We start from the raw sequence: 26,691 nt of genomic DNA, 5'->3' as shown, positions 1-26,691 counted from the left end.
TTGTACACTTCCAGGAATTTATTTCCTCTAGATTTTGTATTTTGTTTCACAGAGTTGTTCATAATAATCTTTGACGATCTTTTGTGGGATCAATGGTAATATCACATTTTTTGTTTCTGATTGTGCTTATCTGGATCTTCTTTCTTGTTGTTGTTGTTGTTAATCCAGCTAGGGGGTCTATCAATTTCATTTCATCTAATTTTTTTGAAGAAACAGCTCTTGGTTTCATTGATTCTTTTTGTATAAATTTTTGTATCTCAATTTCATTAAATTCTTCTTTAATTTTAGTTATTTCTTTTCTTCTAGTTTGGAGTTGGTTTGTTTTTCTTTTCCTAGGACTTTATGTGTGAAGTTAGATTGTTGCTTTGAAACCTTTCTAGCTACTTTATTAAGGCATGTAGGTCCATTAACTTTCCTCTTAACACTGTTTTGGCTGCATCCCAGAGATTTTGGTAAGTTTTGTCCCTATTTTCAATAATTTCAAAGAATTTAAAAAATTTCTGCCTTAATTTTGATGTTCACCTAGTAGTTATTCAGGTGTAAGTTGTTTAACTTCCATGCATTTGTGTATTTTTGAGAGATCTTCTTGGTATTAATTTCTATTTTTATTGCACTGTTTTCTGATATTTTGCTTGGTATGAATTCAATTTTTTTTAATGTATTGAGGCTTGCTTTATGACCAATCAAGTGTGGTTGATCTTAGAATTTGTTCCATTTGCAGATAAGGGGAATGTACATTCTGTGTTGTTGGGTGGAGTATTCTGTAGATGTCTATTAGGTCCAATTTAACAAGTATCGATTTTAAGTCCAGATTTTCCTTGTTATTTTTTTGCCTTGATGATCTAACACTGTAAGGGGGGTGTTGAAGTCTCCCACCATTATTGTGTAGTTGTCTTATGTGTTTTCATAGGCCAAAAAGTTGTTTTATGAATATGTATACTCCAGAGTTGGGCACGTATATATTTAGTATAGTTAGGGCTTCTTGTTGGATTGTACCCTTTATCATTATGTATTGCTCTTTATTGTTCTTCTTGATTTTTGTTGGTTTAAGGTCTGTTTTATCTGATATAAAAATAGAAACCCCTGCCCTTTTTTTTTGTCTTCTGTTTGCATGGTAGATCTAAATCCACCCTTTTACTTTTAAACTGTGGGTATTGTTACATGTGAGATGGGTCTCTTGAAGACAACAGATGGTTGGGTCATGTCTTTTTATCCAGTCTGCCACTCTGGGTCTTTTAAATGGGTCATTTACCTCACTTATATTTAAAGTTACTATTGAAATGTGTGATTTTGATCCTGTCATCATATTGTTAGCTGGTCGTTATGTAGACTTCATTGTGTAATTGCTTTATAGTGCCTGTGGGTTATGTGCTTAAGTGTGCTATTATGGTAGTAGGTGTTATTCTTTCAAATCTATGTTTAGCACTTTCTTAAGAACCTCCTCTAAGGCTGGTCCTATTGAAATGTATTCCCTCAGCACTTACTTGTCTGAGAAGGATTTTATTTCTCCTTTAATTATGAATCTCGGCTAGGCAGGATATAAACGTTTTTGTTCAAATTTCTTTACTTCAATGATGTTGAAAGTCTGTCCCCAATCTCTTCTGATGTGTAAGGTTTCTCCTGAGAAGTCTGCTGCTGCTTGATGAAGTTTCCTCTTAAGTAACCTGGCCCTTCTCTCTAGCTGTCTTTAAGATATTTTTTTTTTGCATTGACCTTGGAGAATCTGTTTACTAGGTCCCATGGTGATGATCATATTGAACAAGGGAGGGGAAGGGGTTCTTATCCCTGATGCAGGTAGCCCCTACTGCTTCATTGTTCCCTATTGGCTAGGGTTGGACTGCACAGTCTAAGCTAATTCTGAATGGCTATTTTAAAGAGAGCAGGGGTATGAGCCAGAGTGGCAGAGTGAGTAGTTTGGCAAGAAGGATGCTTACAGAACAGGTGACTCAGGATGACTCAGGTCAGAGCAGGTGACCAGGGGTGACTCAGGATGGAGCAGGTGACCAGGGGTGACTCAGGATGGAGCAGGTGACCAGGGGTGACTTAGGATGGAGCAGGTGACCAGAGGTGACTCAGGATGCAGCAGGTGATAGAGGATAGGAGGGTGTTGTTTACTGAAACTAGGGGCAAGGAGATGAAGAGAATGAGGAACTTAAACTTTAAAATGCGGATCAAAGAACAGGGGAGCTGAACATACTGATACATTGGTTCTTTGGAGAGGATCTCAGAACTAATTGTACTTAACAATTGACAGGCTAAAACATTTGAAGAGGAATTTATTATATGCTACAGTTGATAGGTCATTCTGGCCATGGGGCTCCCTTGGGGAGAGGTCTGATCAGGAAATAGGCCACACCTTTACTAGACCAGCCCTGTGGAGGGAGACACAGCTAGGTCCCATGCCAGCCCATAAACATGTTAAACTCAGCCTTCACAGTTTTCTGAGAGTCTGGGCTTCTCCCCTGTTTAAGTGCTGACCACAGATCCCAGCTTGGCATTACTGAGCTGCAGGCTGCTGTTCTGGGATACCAGGACTTGATGGTGCTCCCTCCTCCAGATGCTGGGGGGTGGGTTCTGCCGCGTTGTGGGAGCTGAAGCGCTCCTAGGCTGAAAGAATGCACTTAGGTGGAGCAAAGCACTCAGGCTGGGCAGCAGAGGCTGTACTGTGTACACACTCCTACAGGACAGCCAGGCAAGTGGGCAAGTAGGCCTGCAGGATAGATGTGCCCCAGTTCCGCAGAGAAGCAGTCCCTGCTTTTCCTCTAGCAGTTAGCTGGGGCCAGGGCCTCTCAAAGGGAGGGAGACAGGCAGCCCTGCGGGGTGAGTGCTTATGGCCGGGCTCCCTTGGAGCTGATGCATGGTCAAAGTTCCCAGGATCTATGCCTGCTTCATCTCTCTCTGTGTAATCTCTGGGGAGATTCTCCTGCCAGCTGCCATGTCCATGGTAGAGTGAAGTCACCTGAAGGTAGGATCCTAGAGGTCCACAGCAAGAGTGAGCAGTCCTCCAGCCCCTTTATTTACTCACCCCTTTGACAGGTCCTGTTTAGAAACCAGCCACAGCATTTGGGCACTCCACATGGGATTCCCAGCTTTCCCCCTCTTCCGACTCAGCAACTGTGTCTTTTCCCCATCCACATTTGGTGTTTTCTCATCACAGATCTGTTCAAATTATGTTGGTGTAGTCAAAATTTTGGTTTCTCTCTGTGAGGACAGCACTTCCCAGCTGCATCTAGTCAGCCATCTTTGATAAAGTCCCTCATTTTATTTCTTAATAGCTATCTAAAGATTCCCACTCTGCTGAGATGAGTCCCATCATTTTTGCTTTTCGTTTTCCTCTCAGTTTCATCTCACCAAGGTTTTTAAAATTCCCCTATTTCTTAATAACCATTTAAACATTTCCACTTTCCTGCGATGAGTCTTTAAACTCTACTCTTCACCAATCTTTTGTTAATCTATTATTTTTATTAGCATTTGTCAGACTCATGAGAAGAAGCTGAGATAGCAAATTTGATAAGGTTTCTCTGACTGTAACTTGATTTTGCAGTGGTACATTTACATTAATGCCCATGCAGAAAGGACACTCCCCCCCACCCTTTTTAAAAACATGACCTGGGTAATGGGCATGTAGAATGTGAATGTCTCAGTTCCGGTTCTCATAAAGACAGTCCCACATGGATTGCATATGAAGCTGCTTCATCTGGGCTGTTCCACTTGACATTTATAGATGGAGTTGAACAGTCTCCCTTCTCAGGGTAAGCAGACCTTATAGTGGTTTTGTCTAGTCCACCAGGCTGGCTGTTCCCTTGAGAATAACCTTTTGTATGTCAAGATCACATATAGCCATCTGTGATTGTTCAATAGTGAGCTGTGGGTCCTGCATCAACCCAAACATGTTCTCCCACTCTGCATTTAAAATGAAAGACACTTCTCCTATACAAGTTACCCTTACAATGCATTTTAGTAAAAGTTCCTCAGGGAGCTGATAAGATCAATAGTTTTAATAGTTTCTTGGTTGTTTTCTTCTCCCACATTGATAAACTTCATAGTAACCACAGATCTCAAGTTGTGTTGTCCCCCAAATATTTTGCCCACATGGGGCAGCTTTGAGGCTAGTGATGAAGCTCAAACTCACTGAAATCTAAACTTGATGTAGCATCAAGGTCAAACCCAGCATATCATTTCATTTCATGTTAGCTGTTATAGATAACAATAACCAAATGATTGGATATTTTGCTTTTTTCTTATTTGTTTGCATTTCTTTATGTGTCTAGTGAACCAACTCCCTGTGAGTTGGATTTATCTCTAAATTCCACTGGTAACTTTTACCTTAAGTCATCTTCTACCCTCCCATTCTTTTCATGAGCCAGGGCCATTCTAGCAATTCCCACTTCTGACACCAATTGTGTGTAAAAAAAACAAAAAATAAAAATGAAACCTCAAACTGTGTTTTTCTTCTGCTTTCACACCACAGTGATCAACACAGAAGACTTCTGTGACCAAATGTGGGAGGGGTTTTCCCCACCAACTAGCAAGCAATCAATTGTGCAGCAGACACCCACTCAGTGTCCTCCAATTTAATTCTGATGTTATCTACCTAAAACTAGTGTCAGATTCCACATGTTGAGGCTAAGTGTCCAAGACTGCTCCTTCCAATTTCAGATATGAGTTGCAAGTTTGGGCCTCCAGAACATCTGATCAACCAGTGATAAATCAACGTTCTCAAGACCACCCCCCAACCCTTGAGTTCAGTTAATTTGCTAGAGCTGCTGACAGAACTCAGGGGAAACACTTACTTACATTTATCAGTTTTTTACAAAGGATATTTTTAAAGAGATGAATAAACATCCAGATTAAAAGATACATTGGGTGAAGTCTGGAAGGATCCTTAGTGCAAGAGCTTCTGCCCCTGTGGAACTGGAGTGCTCTACCTCCTGACACATGGATGAGTTTTTGTTCACCTTCCTATAAGCCTCCACATGTTCAGCTTTTTGAAAGCTCTCCAAACTCTGTCTTTTGAGGTTTCCGTGGAGGCTTCGTTAGGTAAACATGACTGATTAAACCTTGGCCAGTAGTGATGAACCTAACCTTCAGCCTTTCTCCTATCCCCAGAGGTTGGGGGTAGGACTAAAAGACACAACCTTCTAATCCTGCCTTGATCTTTCTGATAACCTGTCCCATCCTGCAGCTACCTAGGGGCTGCCAGCCATCAGTCAATGATTACCACACAAAAATACATCACTTTGGAAATTGTAAGGATTTAAAATATTGTGTGTCACGAAATAAGGTCAAAGACCAAACATATTTTATGATATCACAGGGCCATATTTCTCTCTTCTTTGTATTATACATTTTTTCCCCTAGGATTTGGGTATTTGTAAAAACAGCTATCTCTTTCAGTCATTGTGTACTAGATTTTTGCAAAGGACAATTTTCACCAATCACCCCAGCTGGAGGTTCTAGGACCTCTCTAATCTTTTCTGATCTCTGTTCACTCTGGTGTCTGCTTATAGAACTGCAGTTCTAAAATGTTGCTGTCCTGTGTTCAGCAGCTTCCAAACTCTGCTGTTGTTCCTGTCTGTGCTCTTAGGTGAAATAGGAACTAATCCTTGGGAAACCCCTAGATAAGCCAGAAAGTTTGAGGCACAGTCCACTCTTTTTTTTTTTTTTTTGAGATGGAGTCTCACTCTGCCACCCAGGCTGGAGTGCAGTGGCATGATCTCGGCTCACTGCAAGCTCCACCTCCTGGGTTCACGCCATTCTCCTGCCTCCACCTACTGAGTAGCTGGGACTACAGGCGCCCGCCACCACGCCTGGCTAATTTTTTGTATTTTTAGTAGAGACAGGGTTTCACTGTGTTATCCAGGATGGTCTCGATCTCCTGACCTCATGATCTGCCCGCCTTGGCCTCCCAAAGTGCTGGGATTACAAGTGTGAGCCACCATGCCCGGCAGTCCACTCTTGCTCCAATCCCAGAGATGAGTGATACTTCTCCTACCTGCACATCCGTCTATAGGCTTTCTGTGAGAAGAAAAATATGGCTCTATCCTGCCCAAGCCCACAGGCAGTCAGACCTTATGGTTATCTTCCCTTGTTCCCTGAAAATCGCTGTTATTCTGTTCTTTTTCAGGGTGCGCTGATTTCATATTGTTCAAACACACATGTTTTACAATTAATTTGCACAATAGTGGTCCTGAGGTGATGTACATTCTCAGCTTATGAAGATAACAGGATTAAGAGATTAAAGTAAAGATAGGAATAAGAAATTATAAGAATATTATTAGGGAAGTGGTAAATGTCCATGAAATCTTCACAATTTATGTTCAGAGATTGAAGTAAAGACAGGCGTAAGAAATTATAAAAGTATTAATTTTGGGAACTGATAAGTGTCCATGAAATCTTCACAATTTATGTTCTTCTGCCTTGGCTCCAGCCAGTCCCTCCGTTCAGGGTCCCTGACTTCTTGCAACATTATATAATGATAAAATGATTAATTCAACAAAAATATATAACAATTATAAATATATATGAACCGAACTCTATAGCTTTAAGATTCATAAAGCAATTACTACTAGAACTAAGAAAAGAGATAGAAAACAACAAAATAATAATGAGGGAATTCAACACTCTATTGACAGCACTAGACAGATCATCAAGGCAGAAAGTCTACAAAGAAAGACTGGATTTAAGCTGCACTCTAGAACAAATGAGCCTAAAACAAATGGGCCTAACAGATATTTACAGAACATTCTACTCAACGACTGCAGAATATTCATTATTCTCATCAGCACATGGAACATTCTCCAAGATAGGCCATATAATAGACCATAAAACAAGTCTCAATACATTTTTAAAAATCAAAGTCATATTAAGTATCTTCTCAGATCATGGTGGAAAATAAACCTAGAAATCAATTCCAGAAGAAACCCCTAAAACTATACAAATATGTAGAAATTAAACAGTCTGGTATACATCTGCTATAGATGATATGGTTTGGCTATGTCCCCACCCAAATCTCATCTTGAATTGTAGCTCCCATATTTCCTATGTTTTATTGGGGGACCTGGTGGGAGATAATTGAATCATGGGGGTGGTTTCCCCATACTGTTCTCATGGTAGTGAATAAGTTTCACAAGACCTGATGATTTTATAAGGGGTTTCCCCTTTTGCATGGCTCTTGTTCTTTCTTGCTTGCCACCTTGTAAGATGTGCCTTTTGCTTTCTGCCATGATTGTGAGGCCTCCCCAGCCATGTGAAACTGTGAGTCCATTAAACCTCTTTTTCTTTATAAATTACCAGTCTTAGGTATGTCTTTATCAGCAGTGTGAAAACAAACTAATACAATGGAACACTGCTCAGCCATAAAAAAGAATAAAATAATGTATTTTGCAGCAATTTGGATGCAGCTGGAGACCATTACACTAATTGAAGTTACTTGGGAATCAAAAACCACATACCACATTTTCTTGCTTACATGTGGGAGCTAAGCCATGGATATGCAAAGGCATACAGAGTGGCATAATAAACATTGGAGACACAGAACAGGGTAGGTTGGGAAGGGGGTGAGGGATGAAAAACTAACTATTGGGAACAATGTACACTACTCAGGTGATTGGGGCACTAAAATCCTAGAGTTCACCACTATACAATTCATTCATGTGATAAAAGACCACATGTAGTCCTAAATTTCTGACAGTTTAAAAAAAATAAATATAAGTATATGTAGTAAATATTCTTCCAATATTTCTTTGAATGAACTTAGTTTCTGGCAGAACTCTCACATAGGTTTAATGACCTGTGGAATAAGAGCAGTTATGGAAGAAAAAGTTAAGTGAAAACCATTAATCTACATCTGTCGCTCAGCACCCCACTCTCAGAGATAGCTAATCAGATGTAATTTCACCTTTCTGGGGAGAATTTCAGATATTAATGTGACCATTAAAGGTTTTAAAAATAAAAGGGTGGTGGTCCCTTTCATATTTTCATTTTTTATTCATTTTGTTTTTAAACAGTTTTATTGAGATGTAATTCACATAACACAAACTTTACCCATTTAACCCTGATACCAAAGCCAAAGACACTGCAAGAAAAGGGAACTACAACTCAATACTCCTGATGAACATGAATGCAAAAATTCTGAACAAAATACTAGCAAATTGAATGCAACAGCACATTAAGAAGAACATGCACCATGACCCAGTGTTACTTATTCTTTATTGGTGGATGACATCAATTATTTATTTTATGTCTGATCCTCTTTTGTCTTTTTGAGCAGTCAGATTTCTACAAATATAATTAAAATGTATCATAAAGCATTTACATTGAAAAAGTATATAAAATAAATGTGAAAATTTCCTCTTTCATTATGGCTTATAGCATCCAGGTGTAGTAACTTAAAAATTTGATATACAAAATTCAATGTGGTGTACTAGCCAAGAAATAAACAATTATTCAGAATGAGAATTAGAGAAGCCTTTTGTAGGTGGTGGGTAACAAAACTTTAAAAGCAAGAGGCGGAAGGTCACTTGGCAAATGGTGTATTAAATTTATTTACTCATTTAAAGTGTACAATTCAATATTTTTAGTATATTCACAGTCATTCAATGATAACCTCAAAATAATTTTAGAACTTTTCTTCATCCTCTAAAAAATTCCATTTCCTTTTGCAATCATTTTGAATTACCTCCTCTACCCTAGCCCTATGAAAACTCCAGTTTACTTTTATTCTCCATAGACTTGCCAACTCTGTGCATTCATATAAATGCAGTCATATCATGTAGCAGTTGTCCATATTTCATTTATTTAGCTGAATATTGTATATACATCATTTTATTCATTCATTTACTAGTTATTGAAATATAGGTTGTTTTCACTTGTTTGATTTTCTGAATAATGCTACTATGAACATGCATACAAGTTTTTGTTGAGCAGAATATGCAGTTTGCTGTTGTTGAATGGTGTGTTATATAGATACCTGTTAAGACTAGTTGATTCACTTGGCTAAGTCTTCCATTTTTCTTTACTTTTCTACTTAGTTGTTCTGTTTATTATTGCATACAGGATAATGAAATTATTGAATGTTTATTTCTGTCTTTGTATTTGTCAATTTTTGCTATATTTTGAAATGTTGTTAGGTGTATACATGCTTGAATTGTTATATTTTCTTAATCAGTTGACTCTTGTGTCACTATGAGATATATATTTTTCTATGTAAAAATTGTTTTTTGTTTGAAAATCTGTTTTGTCTTATTGTAGACATGTGAGCTCTTTTATGGTTGATGTCTTCCTGGAATCTCCTTTTCTATCTTTTTATTTTCAATCTCTTTGCATCTTTGAATTTAAAGTAGGTCTCCTGTAGACACCATACACTTGGGTCTTGCTTTTTAAAATTTTAACTGACCATCTCTACATTTTGATTAAATTGATTAATTCATTCCCATTTAATGTTATTATTAACGTGGTTAGATTTCCATCTGCTTTTTTGTGTTTTGTTTTACATATATATCCTACTTTTTTTTTGTTTCTTTGCTTCTTCTTTACTGCTTTTTTGTATTACTGGATATTTTCTAGTATAAGTCCCTTAATATTTTGAAAATAATTTGAGTTATTTTTAAAATAATTGTTCTATGACTTACAATGTGTTTATTAATTTATCAAAATCCACTTCTGATTTATCCTAACTTAATTTCAGTGAAATACAGACAATTTACTCCTATAAAGATTCAGTCTTTCCACCATTTTGAGGTTTATTATTTTTGTGCATATTACATCTCTATATATTACATACTCAAAAATTCACTCTAAATAATTAATATCACATAGTATTATTTACTGTAGCTTTGTAGTAGGTCTGGAAGTTGAGTAATGTCTGTCCTCCAACTTTGTCCTTCTTCTTTGATATTGTGTTGGCTACTCTGGTTTTTCTGCCTTTTCATATAAACTTTACAGTCAGTTAGTCAATATCTACAAAACAACTTACCTAGGATGACATTTGGGATTGGATTAAATTTATAATTGATTTTTGTTTTATCCGTTTTATTATTTTATCTCTTTGCATTTCTGTTTTCAAAGTTTCTACTGACATATCTTCAAGCTTAATGATTCTTTCCTTGGCCATGTCTAGTCTACCAATGAGTTCATCAAAGGCATTCTTCATTTCTGTTACAGTGTTTTTGAATTTTAATTGTTCTTTTAAATTTTTTCTTAAAGTCTCCATCTCTATTTTTACATTACCCATCTTTTCTTGCATATTATTTACTTTTTCATTATAGCCCTCAGCATATTATTTATCATTATTTTAAATTCTCAGTCGAATAATTCCAAAATTTGTGTCATAGCTAAGTCTGGTTTGATGCCTGTTTTGTCTCTTAGAGTGCTTTTGCCTTTCATCATGCCTTATACTTTTCTTGTTGCTGTTGAAAGCTGGACATAATGCAGCAAGTAAAAGGAACTGAAGTAAATAGGCCTTAAATGTGAAGATTCACATTTTTCTGGCTAGGAATTAGCCTGTTTACCATGTGTTGTAATGTAGTGTCAGAGCTAAGATTTTTCTCTTTATGGCCATATTATTGACTCCTTATTTTCTTTAGATTTTCTTAGAGACTCTCCAAATAGGATGTGAGCCTTGTAGCATTTTTTAGCTGTAATTCACAATGTTTATAGAGGAGCCCTATTGATGTGATGGTAAGGTGTCAGGGAAGGGAAATAATTTTATAGATGGTCTTAGTCTTTTAATGAGCTTGAGTTGGTATTTCTCTTCCCACACATCAAGGGCTAGATAGGGCTGGAGTTGTGTGGTAAAATTGTTTCCCTTGAAGAGCAGACCTTAAGGAGAACAGAGAGCTCAGTGCCTATTTCAAAATGCTTACTGTTCTCCTCCCGCTACTGGATGCATAGCAGGGTTTTTCTCTGGTCCTGAGCATGAGAACCTAAAACTCAAGAAAGCATTCCCTCACCCCCTGCCAATCCCCACTCATCCCCCCAACCCCCACCGTCAAGACTGACTTCCTCAGACGTCTTAACTGTCAAGTGAATCTACACTGAGCTTCCAGCATTTCATCAATTACAGTTTAAAGTATTTCTACCAATATTGGCTCCAGCTGCTAGTTTTGCTCTGGACTTTTCTGCTCCTGGTAAGTTGTGATTCTCAGTGTTTGCCCTCCAGTCTCTAGTTTTAGGGCAGCAATTTTTCCTGTGACCTCAATCCTCTGATGGCTCTAAGAAGAGATGTTTGTCAGATTTTTTCTTGTTCTGAGGACCGGAGTCATGATTTCTCAACCTTTTACATATTAGACCGGAAAGTGGAAGTCTCACACAATGTATTTTTGAAAAATAAATATGAAATTCTGATGTACAATTTACATGTTATAGGTCATGAAAGAATTCATACTTATATCTTACCTGTTTGACATAGTTTTTATAACTTACATTAAACATTTTGTATGATTCATTCTATAATTGTTTGCTACCTACTATTGCTAGATACTGAGGAAATGGAAGCAATGTGGTCTATATTTTTGTGGATCCTCTATAGTTATGGTCTCTCTCTCTCTTTTTCTCTCTCTCTCTCTTTTTTTAGACGGAGCCTCGCCCTTCACTCTGTCGCCCAGGCTGGAGTGCAATGGTGTGATCTCGGCTCACTGCAACCTCTGCCTCCCGGGTTCAAGCGATTGTCCTGCCTCAGCTTCCTGAGTAGCTGGGACTACAGGTGTGTGCCACCAAGCACGGCTAATTTTTGTATTTTTAGTAGAGATGGGGTTTCACCGTGTTAGCCAGGATGGTCTCAATCTCCTGACCTCGTGATCCTCCTGCCTCAGCCTCCCAAAGTGTTGAGATTACAGGTGTGAGCCACCGCACCCAGTCCTCTCTCTCTCAATCTTTTTTTGTTTTTAAAGTAATGAGGAGATTTAACTTTTACGTATAACAGGAGGAACTTTAGAAGTGAGAAAGTCAAGAATTATGTAGTGACTCAGTGATGTCATGGCACTTTACTTGTGTCTCTGCCAAGTTCTCATGGTTGCAAGAAGGTTGCCAGTGCTCCTAGTCAAGGAGAGATCCCAAAGAAGGAAACGGGAAGTGGGTGAAGCAATACCTTTATATTAATTATTTTCCTTCACACTTAAACACAGATCCAAGTGGTTTAATAGCAATGAATATCCAGTTGAAGCTACAGATTTATCATTTTCGGCACAATTAATGTGTGTGTTGTCTTAACTGTAATTTTATGAGACCTATACACATTGACAGTATCATCAATTTTTTTTCTGTTTGGACTCATGTAAATGTAATAAAAGAAAATTGCTGAAAAATATTTAAATAAATGTAGCAACAAAGGTATATATCTGAAGCTAGTGGCATTGACTGTGGTACTTACTAGGATGTATAATCATGAAATACTTTCAATTATTGATTTACATATAAAAATATATTTGATATATGAGTAAGAGAACATGATGATTTTATATAAAGTATAAGTATTGTTGTGTAAAAGCTGAATAATTAAAAACTGAACTGAAAGGTATACTTGGGTCAACCAAATACTAAAGTAAAAAAGAAGCATACAAATCTAGAAAAAAATTATCCAAGGTTTGAAGGTGTACAATAAAACCAGTTAAGCATGGGCGTTAAATCTAAATTAATTAACCTAACAAACTTACAAAACAGTATGAATGTAATAACTAATCCTTAAGAAAGAAATTGAAAACCTAGAGAAAATTAGTGATTATAACAGCAATAATAATAACAGTGTGATTCAGAGATCTTTATTTTAGAAACCAAAAATGCAATAGGGTGAGGAGGTAAGAAAGGAAGTAAAATAGGTAAATTTCTTAAATTTTCAGGATGTATACTTTTTAATTATTGATGTTGCAAAAGTTAGTTTTGAATCATTTCTCTGTGAATTCAGCATTATTCTTTTTTGTAGTTTGACCATAAATCCTGTTTTATATACAGTGTATAAAGGGTATATAAAACAAAACTAGGAGAGTATCAATGGCATATAACACTTATATTTTCCTCAATATCTCCAATATCACTCTTAAAATGTAATTAAGATTACAGTTTAATGCTTGTCTAATATGTCTTAGAGAACGTAGTAAGCATTTTATAAATATTGCCTCATTTAATCTTAAGAGACTTTCAATAAAGCAGGAATGATACAGAGAAGCACCAGTATAGGACAAGGTCAATTTATTAATATCTCTCTCATTTAGACATAGATATGGAAAAGGAGGCAGAAAACAAGTTACCTTCACTGGTAAGTCAAATTTTTGTAGGTCGAAGAGAGTGAAGTAAGGGGTAAACAAGCCTGTATAGAATAAATCCAAGATACACAAGAAAATAACAGGAGTATGACCTGTTTGAGAAGTGAAGAAGGTGAAAGGTGCAAAAGAGGGCAGAATACATCAACTGGGAAGCATAAGAGAGTGTGGGTAAAGAATAAGGAAATTCTGGAGAGAGAGGAAAGTTATGAAGTAGCCATAGATGTTGGGAGCTACACCAATAGGAAGCTACACCAGTAAGAATCAAGGAAGAGATGGACACATGGATACACACACACACACACACACACACACACACACACACACACAGGTGTTTGATAAGATAAGACCCAGAAGCTACAACATCAGTGAAAGCTTATCTAATAGAAAGACAAAGAATGTCTAATTATGGCATTCAAAGGCAATCGGGGAAACTTTTCATATTTTAAATAACAATAAACCATTGAAGGAGTAGTAGTTGGGACATAATCTAGAATCTTTTAAAATGTTTTTATTTTTAATTTGTATGGGTACATAGTAGGTGTATATATTTATGGGTTACATGAGGTGTTTTGATGCAGGCATGCAATGTGAAATAAGTACACCACGGAAAATATGGTATCCACCCCGTCAAGCATTTATCCTTTGTGTTACAAACAAATCAATTCCATGCTTTTAGTTATTTTAAAATGTACAACTGTTATTATTGACTATAGTCACCCTGTTTTGCTATCAAACAGTATGTCTTATTCAAAGTATTTTTTTACCCATTGACCGTCCTCACCTCCACCCCAGTCCCTCACTACCCTTCCCAGCTTCTGATAACCATCCTTCTACAGTGTATGTTTATCAGTTTGATCGTTTTCATTTTCAGATCCCACAAATAAGTAAGAATGTGTGATGTTTGTCTTTCTGTGCCTGACTTATTTCACTTAACATAATGATCTCCAGTTTCATCCATGTTATTGCAAATGACAGGATCTCATTCCCTTTTTATGGCTATATAGTACTCCATTGTGTGTAAGTACCACATTTTAAATCTAGAATCTTCTTGGACTTCCTTATTCATATTGGAATGCTTAATTATTTTTAATTACTTATATGGAAGAGCACCATAAGGTGTTCAGGGCTTGAAAGACCCTGAAAGTTTTAATCTGTCTCTCATACAACTCTAGCTATCATTTCTTTTTTATCCCATGTCTGTGTAAGGATCACTAGCATTCAAGTAAGGTCAGACAAATATTAAACATCATGGTCACAAAGGCAAAAACTGACACAGAAAATTAATGGTCCTTTAACCCAAAGTCATAGCCTTCTGAATCATGTGAACTTTCCTGAACACACTGAAATCCTCATTTTCATTGTTGTACTTCAGAATTTACTTCCTTGCCCTGTTTAGGAAAAGGTCATAGGCCTCACAGTGACTACATTTCTTCATTCCTTCTAAACTTACTTCCTCTTCATGCTTACTTTCTCCTTCCCTTGCTAGCCCTAGAGACAGTAGCCAGGGAAGGAGGGCTGGGGAAGGAAGAAGAACATGGCAAGAGGGAAAAAATGCAACCTCAGATTCTCCTAAATAATAAACTCAGCATTTCCTCTCACACTGTTTTGCTGATTCCAAAGGGACTTGCCTGGTACGTCCTGCTGACACACATTTTCTTTCACTCCTGTTGCTTTCCTCCCTGTTCTGCTTTCCCATATCTTTCTTAGTCACTTATGTTTTTGTCTTTCTGAAGTAATTTTGGACACTGTGTGCAAGTGCACATTTTCTAAAACATTACAAATCTAAAATGTCCTACCATCCTCACACATGACAGATGGGTTGGTTGATAACTATTGGGTCATAAACATTTTCTTACAATAATCCATTACTCTATATTCATTGTCACCTGTTGCAGAAAATAAGTCTCAGGCCAGTATAATTTTGTTCCTTTACATTATAGTTTACCTATTTTTAAAATTTATGATTTTTTCCTCAGATTTTTTCTTGTGTACTTAAAATGTTGCCAAATAATATGAATGAGTCACTTTTCATTATTTATTTCCCAAAATACAATGATCCTTTTAAATCTACATGTTTAATTTATCTTTCTCCTTTTAGAAAACTTTTGTTATTCCAATCAAATTCTTGATTATTTGTTTTACCCCATTTACTGTGATTCATACTTAAGGAAGAGCTCTATTCCTTTGGTTGTATTATTCATATATGCCCCCTATAGATTATTTCTGTCTTACTCCTCAATAGTCTAATGGAGTTTCTCAGTTTTATCTTCCTGTTATAAATTTATTTTTCTGGACTGTCAATTATCTTTGCTTGTTCTAATACAGATTTTAATTATAGTATTACATTTTTAATGTTCCACAAGGCTTTTTAACTTCACCAAGCCCCCATTCCAACTCTTACTCTTTATATTATCTTGCTCTCTTCCCGTGTGTGTTTGTTTATGTCTCATAAAGGTCACAACATTTGTATACCTACTGAGGATGACAAAATATCTAACGATTGTTCTGCCTCCTTCCTTTCCTCAGGTGTTGCTTGCCCTTCATGTTGACAGTCCTCATCTTACCTATTACTTTTTAGTAAATATAATGCTGACTTTGTTTTTGTTCCTTCAGTAGGTAAAGTATGTACATACAAGTTTTCCTTATGTTTACTTCCTCATATCTACAGCGGGAGGACAGTTTGATGGGCACTGCTTCCTATGCAGTTCCAATTTCTGGAGGATATTACTTTACTTTAGCCCAGCTGGACTTAAGTACATTGCCATTCAATGCTTACTGTCTGGTTTTCACATGTTCAATTTATGGAATATTTTGAAAATTAAAACTCATTCCCATTATTCATACAAGATGTGGACATATTTCAGTTCATTTTCTACCACCTATCAGTAATTTTGGTATCATAGTTTTCAAAAGGGTATCATAATGGTTTCCTTCAAAACCAGAGAAAATAGAATGGTGGCTTCCCAGTTTTTTCAGGTAAATATAGGTACAGACTTTGTATTCTTGAGGCAGAAATAGAGAGTAGGAAAAGGATGAGAGATTAGTGAGACAATTATAAACATAATCATAAAATAGAAGATTGTTGTTGTGTAAAACATGATTTCACCCACCCAATACTAGAACGTATAATTAGCTAGAGTCCACATAACAAAACTTTAGGTAATTTAATTGTCTTCATGATAGCAACTAACATTATTTGAGCTGAAGTACAGGTCTGAGCAGTGGATCTTGACCCTTTGGTGTACTATTCAAAATTTTCACAATCTCCTCCAAATTCTCAGTTAATGTTACCTCCAATTACCAGGAAAAATAACAGAAATACTATTCAGAGAAAAGGGAGGAAACTAATTATGTCACCCTTACACAACTAAGACATTTGTTCTTAGATATATTATTTTATTCTAGTAGTTTTCTGATAACTGGTGGGACAGAAAATGTAATTTCAAACACTGGATAGATCTGGACAGTCCTGATTTTTAAATTTCATATATTTAAAGTATTACAACATGAAGTATTGATATACATATACAAGTGAAATGATTAGTACAGTCAAGCAAATTAACATATCCGTCATCTCATATTTCATTTTTTTTTGTGGCTAAAGTACCTAAAATCTTAGTAAATTTCCAGTATTCAATACCGTATTATTAACTACAGTCTACATGCCGCACACTAGAGCTCTAGGTTTATTTATCCTACATAACCGAAACGTTGTATCCTTTGACTTCCATCTCCTCGTTTTCCCCACCGTCACCTGTGGCCCGGTAACCATCTTTCTACTCTCTGTTTCTGTGTATTTGAGTTTTGTAATTAAAAAATAATCTTCCACATGTAAGTGAGTTCACATGGTATATTTATTTTTCCTGTGTTTGGCTTTTTTTCACTTAGCATGATGTCCTCTGGGTTCACCTATATTCTTGAAAGTGGCAGGATCTTTTTCTTTTTTAAAGCTGAAGAATATTCCTCTCTGTGTATGTGTGTGTGTGTGTCCTACAATTTTTTTATCCATTCTTCCATCGACAGACAGGTTGTTTCTACCTCTTGGCTACTGTGAATAATGCTGTGGTGAACACAAGAGCACAGTGTCTTTACAAGGTGCTGATGGCATTTCCCTTGGGTATATGCCCAGAAGAGGGATTGCTGGGTTACATGGTGGCTTTTTAAAAAAATTCCATTAGAAACCTCCAGATTTTTTTTCCATAATGGCGGCACCAATCTACATTTCCACCAACAGCGTACAAGTGTTCCGTTTTCTGCGCATCCTCACCAACACTGTTTTATCTCTTGTCTTTTTGATAGTAGCCATCCTAATAGATGTGAGGTGACAGCTCATTGTGGTTTTTATTTCCATTTCCTTCATGTTTCATGATGTTGAGCACCTTTTGCTACACTTGTTGGCCATTTTTACTTCTTCTTTGGAGAAATATCTGGTCAGGTTATTTGCCCACATTTTAATAGGATTATTTGTATCTTTTGCTATAGAATTGTTTGAGTTCCTTATATATTTTGGATCTCAACCCTTTTTCTGATATATGCTTCATAGATATTTTCTCCCAATCCATTGGCTGTCAGTTTTGATCATTTTCTTTGCTGTGTAGAGCGTTTTAGTTTGACATGGTTCCACCTGTTTCTTTCATTCTTATTACCTGTTCTTTTTGGTGAGATATCAAAAAAACCCTTGTCAAGGCCAATATTGAGATTTTCCTGTTTTCCTCTAGGAATTTAATGTTTCAGGTCTTTAATATCCTTCTAGTTTATTTTTGTGTGCAGTGTAAGACAAGGGTCCAGTTTCATCCTTTTTGCATGTGGATATCGGGTTTTCCAAACACCATGTATTGAAGAGACTATCTGTTCCTCATTGTGTCTTCTTGGTGGCTTTGTCAAAAATTAATTGACTGTACATGCTTAGATTTATTTATGGGTTCTCTATTCTGTTCCATTGGTCCATATCTCTGTATCTCTGTTTTTGTTTTTTTGTTTGTTTGTTGTTTTTTTGAGACGGTGTCTCACTCTGTCACCCAGGCTGGAGTGCAGTGGCACAATCTCGGCTCACTGCAACCTCCGCCTCCCAGGTTCAAGAGATTCTCCTGACTCAGCCTCCCGAGTAGCTGGGATTACAGGTGCCTGCCACCATGCCCGGCTAATTTTTGTATTTTTAGTAGATAGAGATGGGGTTTCACCATGCTGGCCAGGCTGGTCTTGAACTCCTGACTTCAGGTGATCCACCTACCTTGGCCTCCCAAAGTGCTGGGATTACTGGATGAGCCATCATGCCTGGCCTATATGTCTGTTTTTATGTCTGTTTTCATACTGCTTCATTATGCCTCTTTTGTGATATAATTTGAGATTAAGAAATGTGATGCCTTCAACTTTGTTTTCCTCAACACTGTTTTGATTACTTGAAGTATGTTGTGGTTTCACACAAATTTTAGAATGGTTTTTTCTATTTCTATGAAAAATATCTTTTTTTTTTTGGCTGAGTACAGGGGACTTTATTGATGGTAAATGACATGGTGGGGCTCCCTAGGTCTCTCCTTCTTCAGAGGATCTGGAAACTGTGAGGAGAGAAGATTCTGTGTGGTCGGGGACTGAGTGCAGCAGGGAATCCCCAGCAGCTAAGGGTCCCTCTCTTCTTCCTGCGCTCTCCCTGGGGTTAGTGATTGGGGGATTTTACTCCTCAGAGGCCATGTGTACCATGAGTCCATCACCTTGTTACTGTAGGCAAATTCATTGCCATACCAGGAAATGAGCTTGACAAAGTGGTCATTGACGGCAATGCCAGCCCCAGCTTCAAAGGTGGAAGGGCGGGTATTGCTTTTAAATTCCAAAGGGACAACCTGGTGCTCAGTATAGCCCAGGATGCCCTTGAGGGGTCCTTGGGTGCCTGCCTCACCACCTTTTTGATGTCTGAAGAAACCTGTCTAGCAGGTTTCTCCAGACAAGAGGTCAGTTCCACAACTGACACAGTGGTGCTGGGAACACAGAAGACCATGCCAGTGAGCTTCCCATTAAGCTTAGGAATGACCTTGCCCTCTCATTGCCCATTTACTTGGCAGCACCAGTAGATGCAGGAATGGTGTTCTGGAAAGCCCCATGGCTGTCATGCCAGAGTTTCCTGGAGGGGCCATCCACAGTCTTCTGGGTGGCAATGATGCTGTGGACTGTGGTCATGAGTCCCTCCCTGATGCCAAAGTTGTCATGAATGACCTTGGCCAGGGGATCTAAGCAGTTGGTGGTACAGGAGGCATTGCTGATGACTGTGAGTTTGTTTTCATGCTTATGGTTCATGCCCATCACAAACATGGGGACATCTGCAGAGGGGATGGAGATGATGAACCTTTTGGTTCCCCTCTCCAGGTGAGCCCCAGCCTTTGCCAAGGTAGTGAAGATGCCATTGGACTCCATGACATAATTAGCACCAGCATTATCTCATTTGGTTTTGGTGAGCTCTCACTCCTGGAAGATAGTGACGGGATTTCCATTGATGACTAGCTTCCCATTCTCAGCCTTGATGGTACCATGGAACTTGCCATGGGTGGGATCATAATGGAACATGTAGACCATGTAGTTGAGGTCAATGAAAGGGCCATTGGTGGTAACAGTATCCACTTTGCCAGGATTAAAAGCAGCTATCATGAACAGGCACCTAATATGGCCAAATCCATTTACTCCTGCCTTCACTTTCACTCTGGTGTCTCAGGAAGAGGGCTGATGCTGCATAAGAAAATTGGATATTTGTCCAATGGGAGAAGCAGGGAGGTCGCTGGAATTTTGATGGGGTTGCACTGAAAATGCTTATCATTTTAGGTGGTATAAACAGTCCTAATATCTTGAGACCAAAGATGTCAGGTATTTATATCTGTTCTTTCCAGTTCCTTCTAGATACCCTCAGCTAAGACAACTAAAAAACATGCACAAGCCTTATATATGAAATAAGGAAAGTATAAAATGCTAATGTTACAATTACAATTGTTAAAAAGCTGGTGATCATTCTTTTCAGAGATACAACATACCTACTGTTGACACACACTTAAAGTATTTAACCTGGAAACAAATTACTTGCTGGGGCTATAATGCTATCACATGAGATAGGAGCCCAACTTAATATACTACTATTATTAGCTCATATATCCCATCTCCCAATCTTTTCTAAAAATTATTTTACTTTAAGTTCCCAGATACATGTGCAGAATGTGCAGGTTGGTTACTTTGGTATATGTGTGCCTTGGTGGTTTTCTGCACTATTGACCCATCCTCTAGGTTCCCTCCCCTCACCCACAAACCCTCAACAAGCCCTGGTGTGTGTTGTTTCCCTCCCTATGTCCACGTGTTCTCATTGTTCAACTTCCACTTATGAGTGAGAACATGCAGTATTTGGTTTTCTGTTCCTGTGTTAGTTTGCTGAAGATGATGGCTTCCAGCTTCATCCATGCTCCTGCAAAGGACATGATCTCATTCCTTTTTATGGCTGCATGGTATTCCACAGTGTAGATGTACCACATTTTCTTTTCCAGTCTGCCATTGATGCATATATTCTCTTTAAATTGATTCCAACAGAAGTTGTGTTTCCTTTTTTTTAACCTAGAAGAATAAGCTTGGATAAAAGTTATGTTTTTCTTAATAAAGAGACATATTTCTTTTTTTCTTTTTTTTAAATTATACTTTAAGTTCTAGGGTGCATGTGCACAACGCGCAGGTTTGTTACATATGTATATATGTGCCACGTTGGTGTGCTGCGCCCATTAACTCATCATTTACAGTAGGTATTTCTCCTAATGCTATCCTTCCCCCCTTCCCCCACCCCACAACAGGCCCCGGTGTGTGATGCTCCCCATCCTCTGTCCAAGTGTTCTTGTTGTTCAATTCCCACCTATGAGTGAGAACATGTAGTGTTTGGTTTTCTGTTCTTGCGATAGTTTGCTCAGAATGATAGCTTCCAGCTTCATCCATGTCCCTGCAAAGGACATGAATTCATCTTATTTTATGGCTGCATAGTATTCCATGGTGTATATGTGCCACATTTTCTTAATCCAGTCTATCATTGATGGACATTTGGGTTGGTTCCAAGTCTTTGCTATTGTGAATAGTGCCACAATAAACATACGTGTGCATGTGTCTTTATAGCAGCATGATTTATAATCCTTTGGGTATATACCCAGTAATGGGATGGCTGGGTCAAATGGTATTTCTAGTTCTGGATCCTTGTGGAATTGCCACACTGTCTTCCACAATGGTTGAACTGGTTTACAGTCCCACCAACAGTGTAAAACTGTTCCTATTTCTCCACATCCTGTACAGCATCTGTTGTTTCTTGACGTTTTAATGATTGCCATTCTAACTGGTGTGAGATGATATCTCATTGTGGTTTTGATTTGCATTTCTCTGATGGCCAGTGATGATGAGCATTTTTTCATGTGTCTGTTGGCTGCATAAATGTCTTCTTTTGAGAAGTGTCTGTTCATATCCTTTGCCCACTTTTTGATGGGGTTGTTTGTTTTTTTCTTGTAAATTTGTTTAAGTTCTTTGTAGATTCTGGATATTAGCCCTTTGTCAGATGGGTAGATTGTAAAAATTTTCTCCCATTCTGTAGGTTGCCTGTTCACTCTGATGGTAGTTTCTTTTGCTGTGCAGAAGCTCTTTAGTTTAATTAGATCCCATTTGTCAATTTTGGCTTTTGTTGCCATTGCTTTTGGTGTTTTAGACATGAAGTCCTTGCCCATGCCTATGTCCTGAATGGTATTGCCTAGGTTTTCTTCTAGGGTTTTTATGGCTTTAGGTCTAACATGTAAGTCTTTAATCCATCTTGAATTAATTTTTGTATAAGATGTAAGGAAGGGATCCAGTTTCAGCTTTCTACATATGGCTAGCCAGTTTTCCCATCACCACTTATTAAATAGGGAATGCTTTCCCCATTTCTTGTTTTTGTCAGGTTTGTCAAAGATCAGATGGTTGTAGACGTGTGGTATTATTTCTGAGGGCTCTGTTCTGTTCCATTGGTCTATATCTCTGTTTTGGTACCAGTACCATGCTGTTTTGGTTACCGTAGCCTTGTAGTATAGTTTGAAGTCAGGTAGCGTGATGCCTCCAGCTTTGTTCTTTTGGCTTAGGGTTGTCTTGGCAATGCGGGCTCTTTTTTGGTTCCATATAAACTTTAAAGTAGTTTTTTCTAATTCTGTGAAGAAAGTCATTGGTAGCTTGATGGGGATGGCATTGAATCTATAAATTACCTTGGGCAGTATGGCCATTTTCACGATATTGATTTTTCCTATCCATGAGCATGGAATGTTATTCCATTTGTTTGTGTCCTCTTTTATTTCATTGAGCAGTGGTTTGTAGTTCTCCTTGAAGAGGTCCTTCACATCCCTTGTAAGATGTATTCCTAGGTGTTTTATTCTCTTTGAAGCAATTGTGAATGGGAGTTCACTCATGATTTGGCTGTTTGTTATTGGTGTATAGGAATGCTTGTGATTTTTGCACACTGATTTTGTATCCTGAGACTTTGCTGAAGGTGCTTATCAGCTTAAGGAGATTTTGGGCTAAGACAATAAGGTTTTCTAAATATACAATCCTGTCATCTGCAAACAGGGGCAATTTGACTTCTTGTTTTCCTAATCGAACACCCTTTATTTCTTTCTTCTGCCTGATTGCCCTGGCCAGAACTTCCAACACTATGTTGAATAGGAGTGGTGAGAGAGGGCATCCGTGTCTTGTGCCAGTTTTCAAAGGGAATTCTTCCAGTTTTTGCCCATTCAGTATGATATTGGCTGTGGGTTTGCCATAAATAGCTCTTATTATTTTGAGATACGTCCCATCAATACCTAGTTTATTGAGAGTTTTTAGCATGAAAGGCTGTTGAATTTTGTCAAAGGCCTTTTCTGCATCTATTGAGATAATCATGTGTTTTTTGTCTTTGGTTCTGTTTATGTGATGGATGACGTTTATTGATTTGTGTATGTTGAACCAGCCTTGCATCCCAGGGATGAAGCCCACCTGATCATGGTGGATAAGCTTTTTGATGTGCTGCTGGTTTCCATTTGCCAGTATTTTATTGAGGATTTTTGCATCGATGTTCATCAGGGTTATTGGTCTAAAATTCTCTTTTTTTGTTGTGTCTCTGCCAGGCTTTGGTATCAGGATGATGCTGGCTTCACAAAATGAGTTAGGGAGGATTCCCTCTTTTTCTATTGATTGGAATAGTTTCAGAAGTAATGATACCAGCTCCTCTTTGTATCTCCGGTAGAATTCGGCTGTGAATCTGTCTGATCCTGGACTTTTTTTGGTTGGTAGGCTATTAATTATTGCCTCAATTTCAGAGCCTGTTATTGGTCTGTTCCAGGATTCAACTTCTTCCTAGTTTAAGTCTTGGGAGGGTGTTATGTGTTCAGGAATTTATCCATTTCTTCTAGATTTTCTAGTTCATCTGCATAGAGGTGTTTATAGTATTCTCTGATGGTAGTTTGTGTTTCTGTGGGATCAGTGGTGATAGCCCCTTTATCATTTTTTATTGCATCTATATGATTCTTCTCTCTTTTCTTCTTTATTCATCTTGCTAGTGGCCTATTTTGTTAATCTTTTAAAAAAAAACAGCTCTGGGATTCATTGATTTTTTGAAGGGTTTTTTGTGTCTCTATCTCCTTCAGTTCTGCTCTGATCTTAATTATTTCTTGCCTTCTCCTAGCTTTTGAATATGTTTTCTCTTGCTTCTCTATTCTTTTAATTGTGATGTTAGGGTGTCAATTTTAGATCTTTCCTGCTTTCTCTTGTGGGCATTTAGTACTATAAATTTCCCTCTACACACTGCTTTAAATGTGTCCCAGAGATTCTGGTATGTTGTGTCTTTGTTCTCATTGGTTTCAAAGAACATCTTTATTTCTGCCTTCATTTTGTTATGTACCCAGTAGTCATTCAGGAGCAGGTTGTTCAGTTTCCGTGTAGTTGAGCAGTTTTGAGTGAGTTTCTTTTTTTTTTTTTTTTTTTGAGACGGAGTCTCGCTCTGTCGCCCAGGCCGGACTGCAGACTGCAGTGGCGCAATCTCGGCTCACTGCAAGCTCCGCTTCCCGGGTTCACGCCATTCTCCTGCCTCAGCCTCCCGAGTAGCTGGGACTACAGGCGCCCGCCACCGCGCCCAGCTAATTTTTTGTATTTTTAGTAGAGACGGGGTTTCACCTTGTTAGCCAGGATGGTCTCGATCTCCTGACCTCATGATCCACCCGCCTCGGCCTCCCAAAGTGCTGGGATTACAGGCGTGAGCCACCGCGCCTGGCCTTGAGTGAGTTTCTTAATCCTGAGTTCTAGTTTGATTGCACTGTGGTCTGAGAGACAGTTTGCTATGATTTCTGTTATTTTACATTTGCTGAGGAGTGCTTTACTTCCAACTATGTGGTCAATTTTGGAATAAGTGCAATGTGGTGCTGAGAAGAATGTATATTCTGTTGATTTGGGGTGGAGAGTTCTGTAGATGTCTATTAGGTCTGCTTGGTGCAGAGTTGAGTTCAAGACCTGGATATCCTTGTTAACTTTTTGTCTCATTGATCTGTCTAATGTTGACAGTGAGGTGTTAAAGTCTCTCATCATTATTGTGTGGGAGTCTAAGTCTCTTTGTAGGTCTCTAAAGACTTTCTTTATGAATCTGGGTGCTCCTGTATTGGGTGCATATATATTTAGGATAGTTAGCTCTTCTTGTTGAATTGATCTCTTTACCATTATGTAATGGCCTTCTTTGTCTGGTTTTGATCTTTGTTGGTTTAAAGTCTGTTTTATCAGAGAGTAGGATTGCAACCCCTGCTTTTTTTTGTTTTCCATTTGCTTGGTAGATCTTCCTCCATCCCTTTATTTTGAGCCTATGTGTGTCTCTGCACGTGAGATGGATCTCCTGAAAGCAGCACACTGATGGGTCTTGACTGTTTATCTAATTTGCCAGTCTGTGTCTTTTAATTGGGGCATTTAGCCTATTTACTTTTAAGGTTAATATTGTTATGTGTGAATTTGATCCTGTCATTATGATGTTAGCTGGTTATTTTGCTCGTTAGTTGATGCAGTTTATTCCTAGAATTGATGTTGTTTACAATTTGTCATGTTTTTGCAGTGGCTGGTACTGGTTGTTCCTGTCCATTTTTAGTGTTTTCTCCAGGAGCTCTTGTAAGGTAGGCATGATGGTGACAAAATCTCTCAGCATTTGCTTGTCTGTAAAAGATTTTATTTCTCCTTCACTTATGAAACTTTCTTTGGCCGAATATGAAATTCTGGGTTGAAAATTCTTTCTTTAAGAATGTTGAATATTGGCCCCCACTCTCTTCTGGCTTGTAGGGTTTCTGCAGAAAGATCTGCCTTAGTCTGATGGGCTTCCCTTTGCAGGCAACCTGACCTTTCTCTCTGGCTGCCCTTAACATTTTTCGCATTAGCCAGGTGGCTATTTGGGGAACAATATTCAAGGAAAAGGGAACAGCCAATGCAAAAGCCCTAAATCAGGACTAAAAGTGGGGTGCTTGAGAACAGCAAGATGGCCAGTGTGGGTGGATATTAATAGATAGGGAAATAGTCAAAGAAGATTCAGAGAGGTGAGGAGAGTGGTGGTAGTCGTGGGGTGAGCTGGTTACTTCCCTATAGACTGGCCATTTTAAGTAACAGCTTTTATTCTGAATGAGATAGGGACCCTTTGAAGGGTTTTGAATTAACCAGTAACATGATCTGACATAAAATTTAAAAAGTTTACCCTGGTTATCTTGATGAGAATAGATACTTAGGAAAGGCAAAAGTAGTTAGGAGGCTGGAGTGGGATTCCAGGCAGGGGATGATGGTGACCCTGATCAGGATGATGTCAATGGATGTAGATGTATTTTGGAAGTGGTGCAAATGGGATTTCCTGAAGAATTGGATATGGAACATGGAAGTAAGAGAGGGATCAAGGATGACCCCGAGAATTTTGCCCTGAACACTGAAAATTGGTGGTGTTGCCATTAACATCCTTTTCATGTATGTGACAGGATCTATATTGGTAATACATGGATTTTACCCATTTATATCTTGTAATGTCTAATTATACTTAGATTAACAAAGTTCTTCCAAGAGATTTTACTTTCTGTTTCAGGTTGCCTTTTTAATTTTGTTTATGGAGTGGAGAAAGGATTAAAGCTGAGCTCCAATCTGAATTAGAATCAGTCCCCAGAAATACCCCATTCAGACTTACATAGCCATCCATCTTGGCATATTTCTTGAATTGTTGCTCATACTGGCTCTCTAACAATTTTTCTCCCAGCATCTAAGTCACATTCTTGATTTGATGGTCAAAATGATAGATGTCATTTGTCCTGTTCATAAAAACTGTCACAGAATAATAAGCCACTTTTCTTCAATAACAAATGTCTTTTTAACTTACCTGCCACATTTTTCCTTTTTATCAACTGACTTTTGTTATTATTGTTGGGCACTCGTT

At 38.1% G+C, this 26,691-nt stretch overlaps 1 pseudogene, besides 1 other annotated feature; it reads right to left on the bottom strand.

Annotated features, from left to right (window-relative positions):
• Positions 1,141–2,340: an enhancer, noted in NCBI's record as "P300/CBP strongly-dependent group 1 enhancer chr12:7736568-7737767 (GRCh37/hg19 assembly coordinates)". NCBI's record gives its function as "activates an origin of replication core promoter dependent on BRD2, BRD4, P300/CBP, MED14 and CDK7 cofactors, with strong dependence on P300/CBP, by STARR-seq in HCT116 cells {active_cell/tissue: HCT116}" and the evidence as "EXISTENCE:reporter gene assay evidence [ECO:0000049][PMID:35650434]".
• Positions 18,733–20,018, bottom strand: GAPDHP31 (glyceraldehyde 3 phosphate dehydrogenase pseudogene 31; annotated as a pseudogene).

The sequence above is a fragment of the Homo sapiens genome, chromosome 12, assembly GCF_000001405.40.
Source record: "Homo sapiens chromosome 12, GRCh38.p14 Primary Assembly".
Classification (NCBI taxonomy): Eukaryota; Metazoa; Chordata; class Mammalia; order Primates; family Hominidae; genus Homo; species Homo sapiens.
Note: the sequence above shows the minus strand (reverse complement) of the source record. Positions and strands in the feature narration are given on the sequence as shown.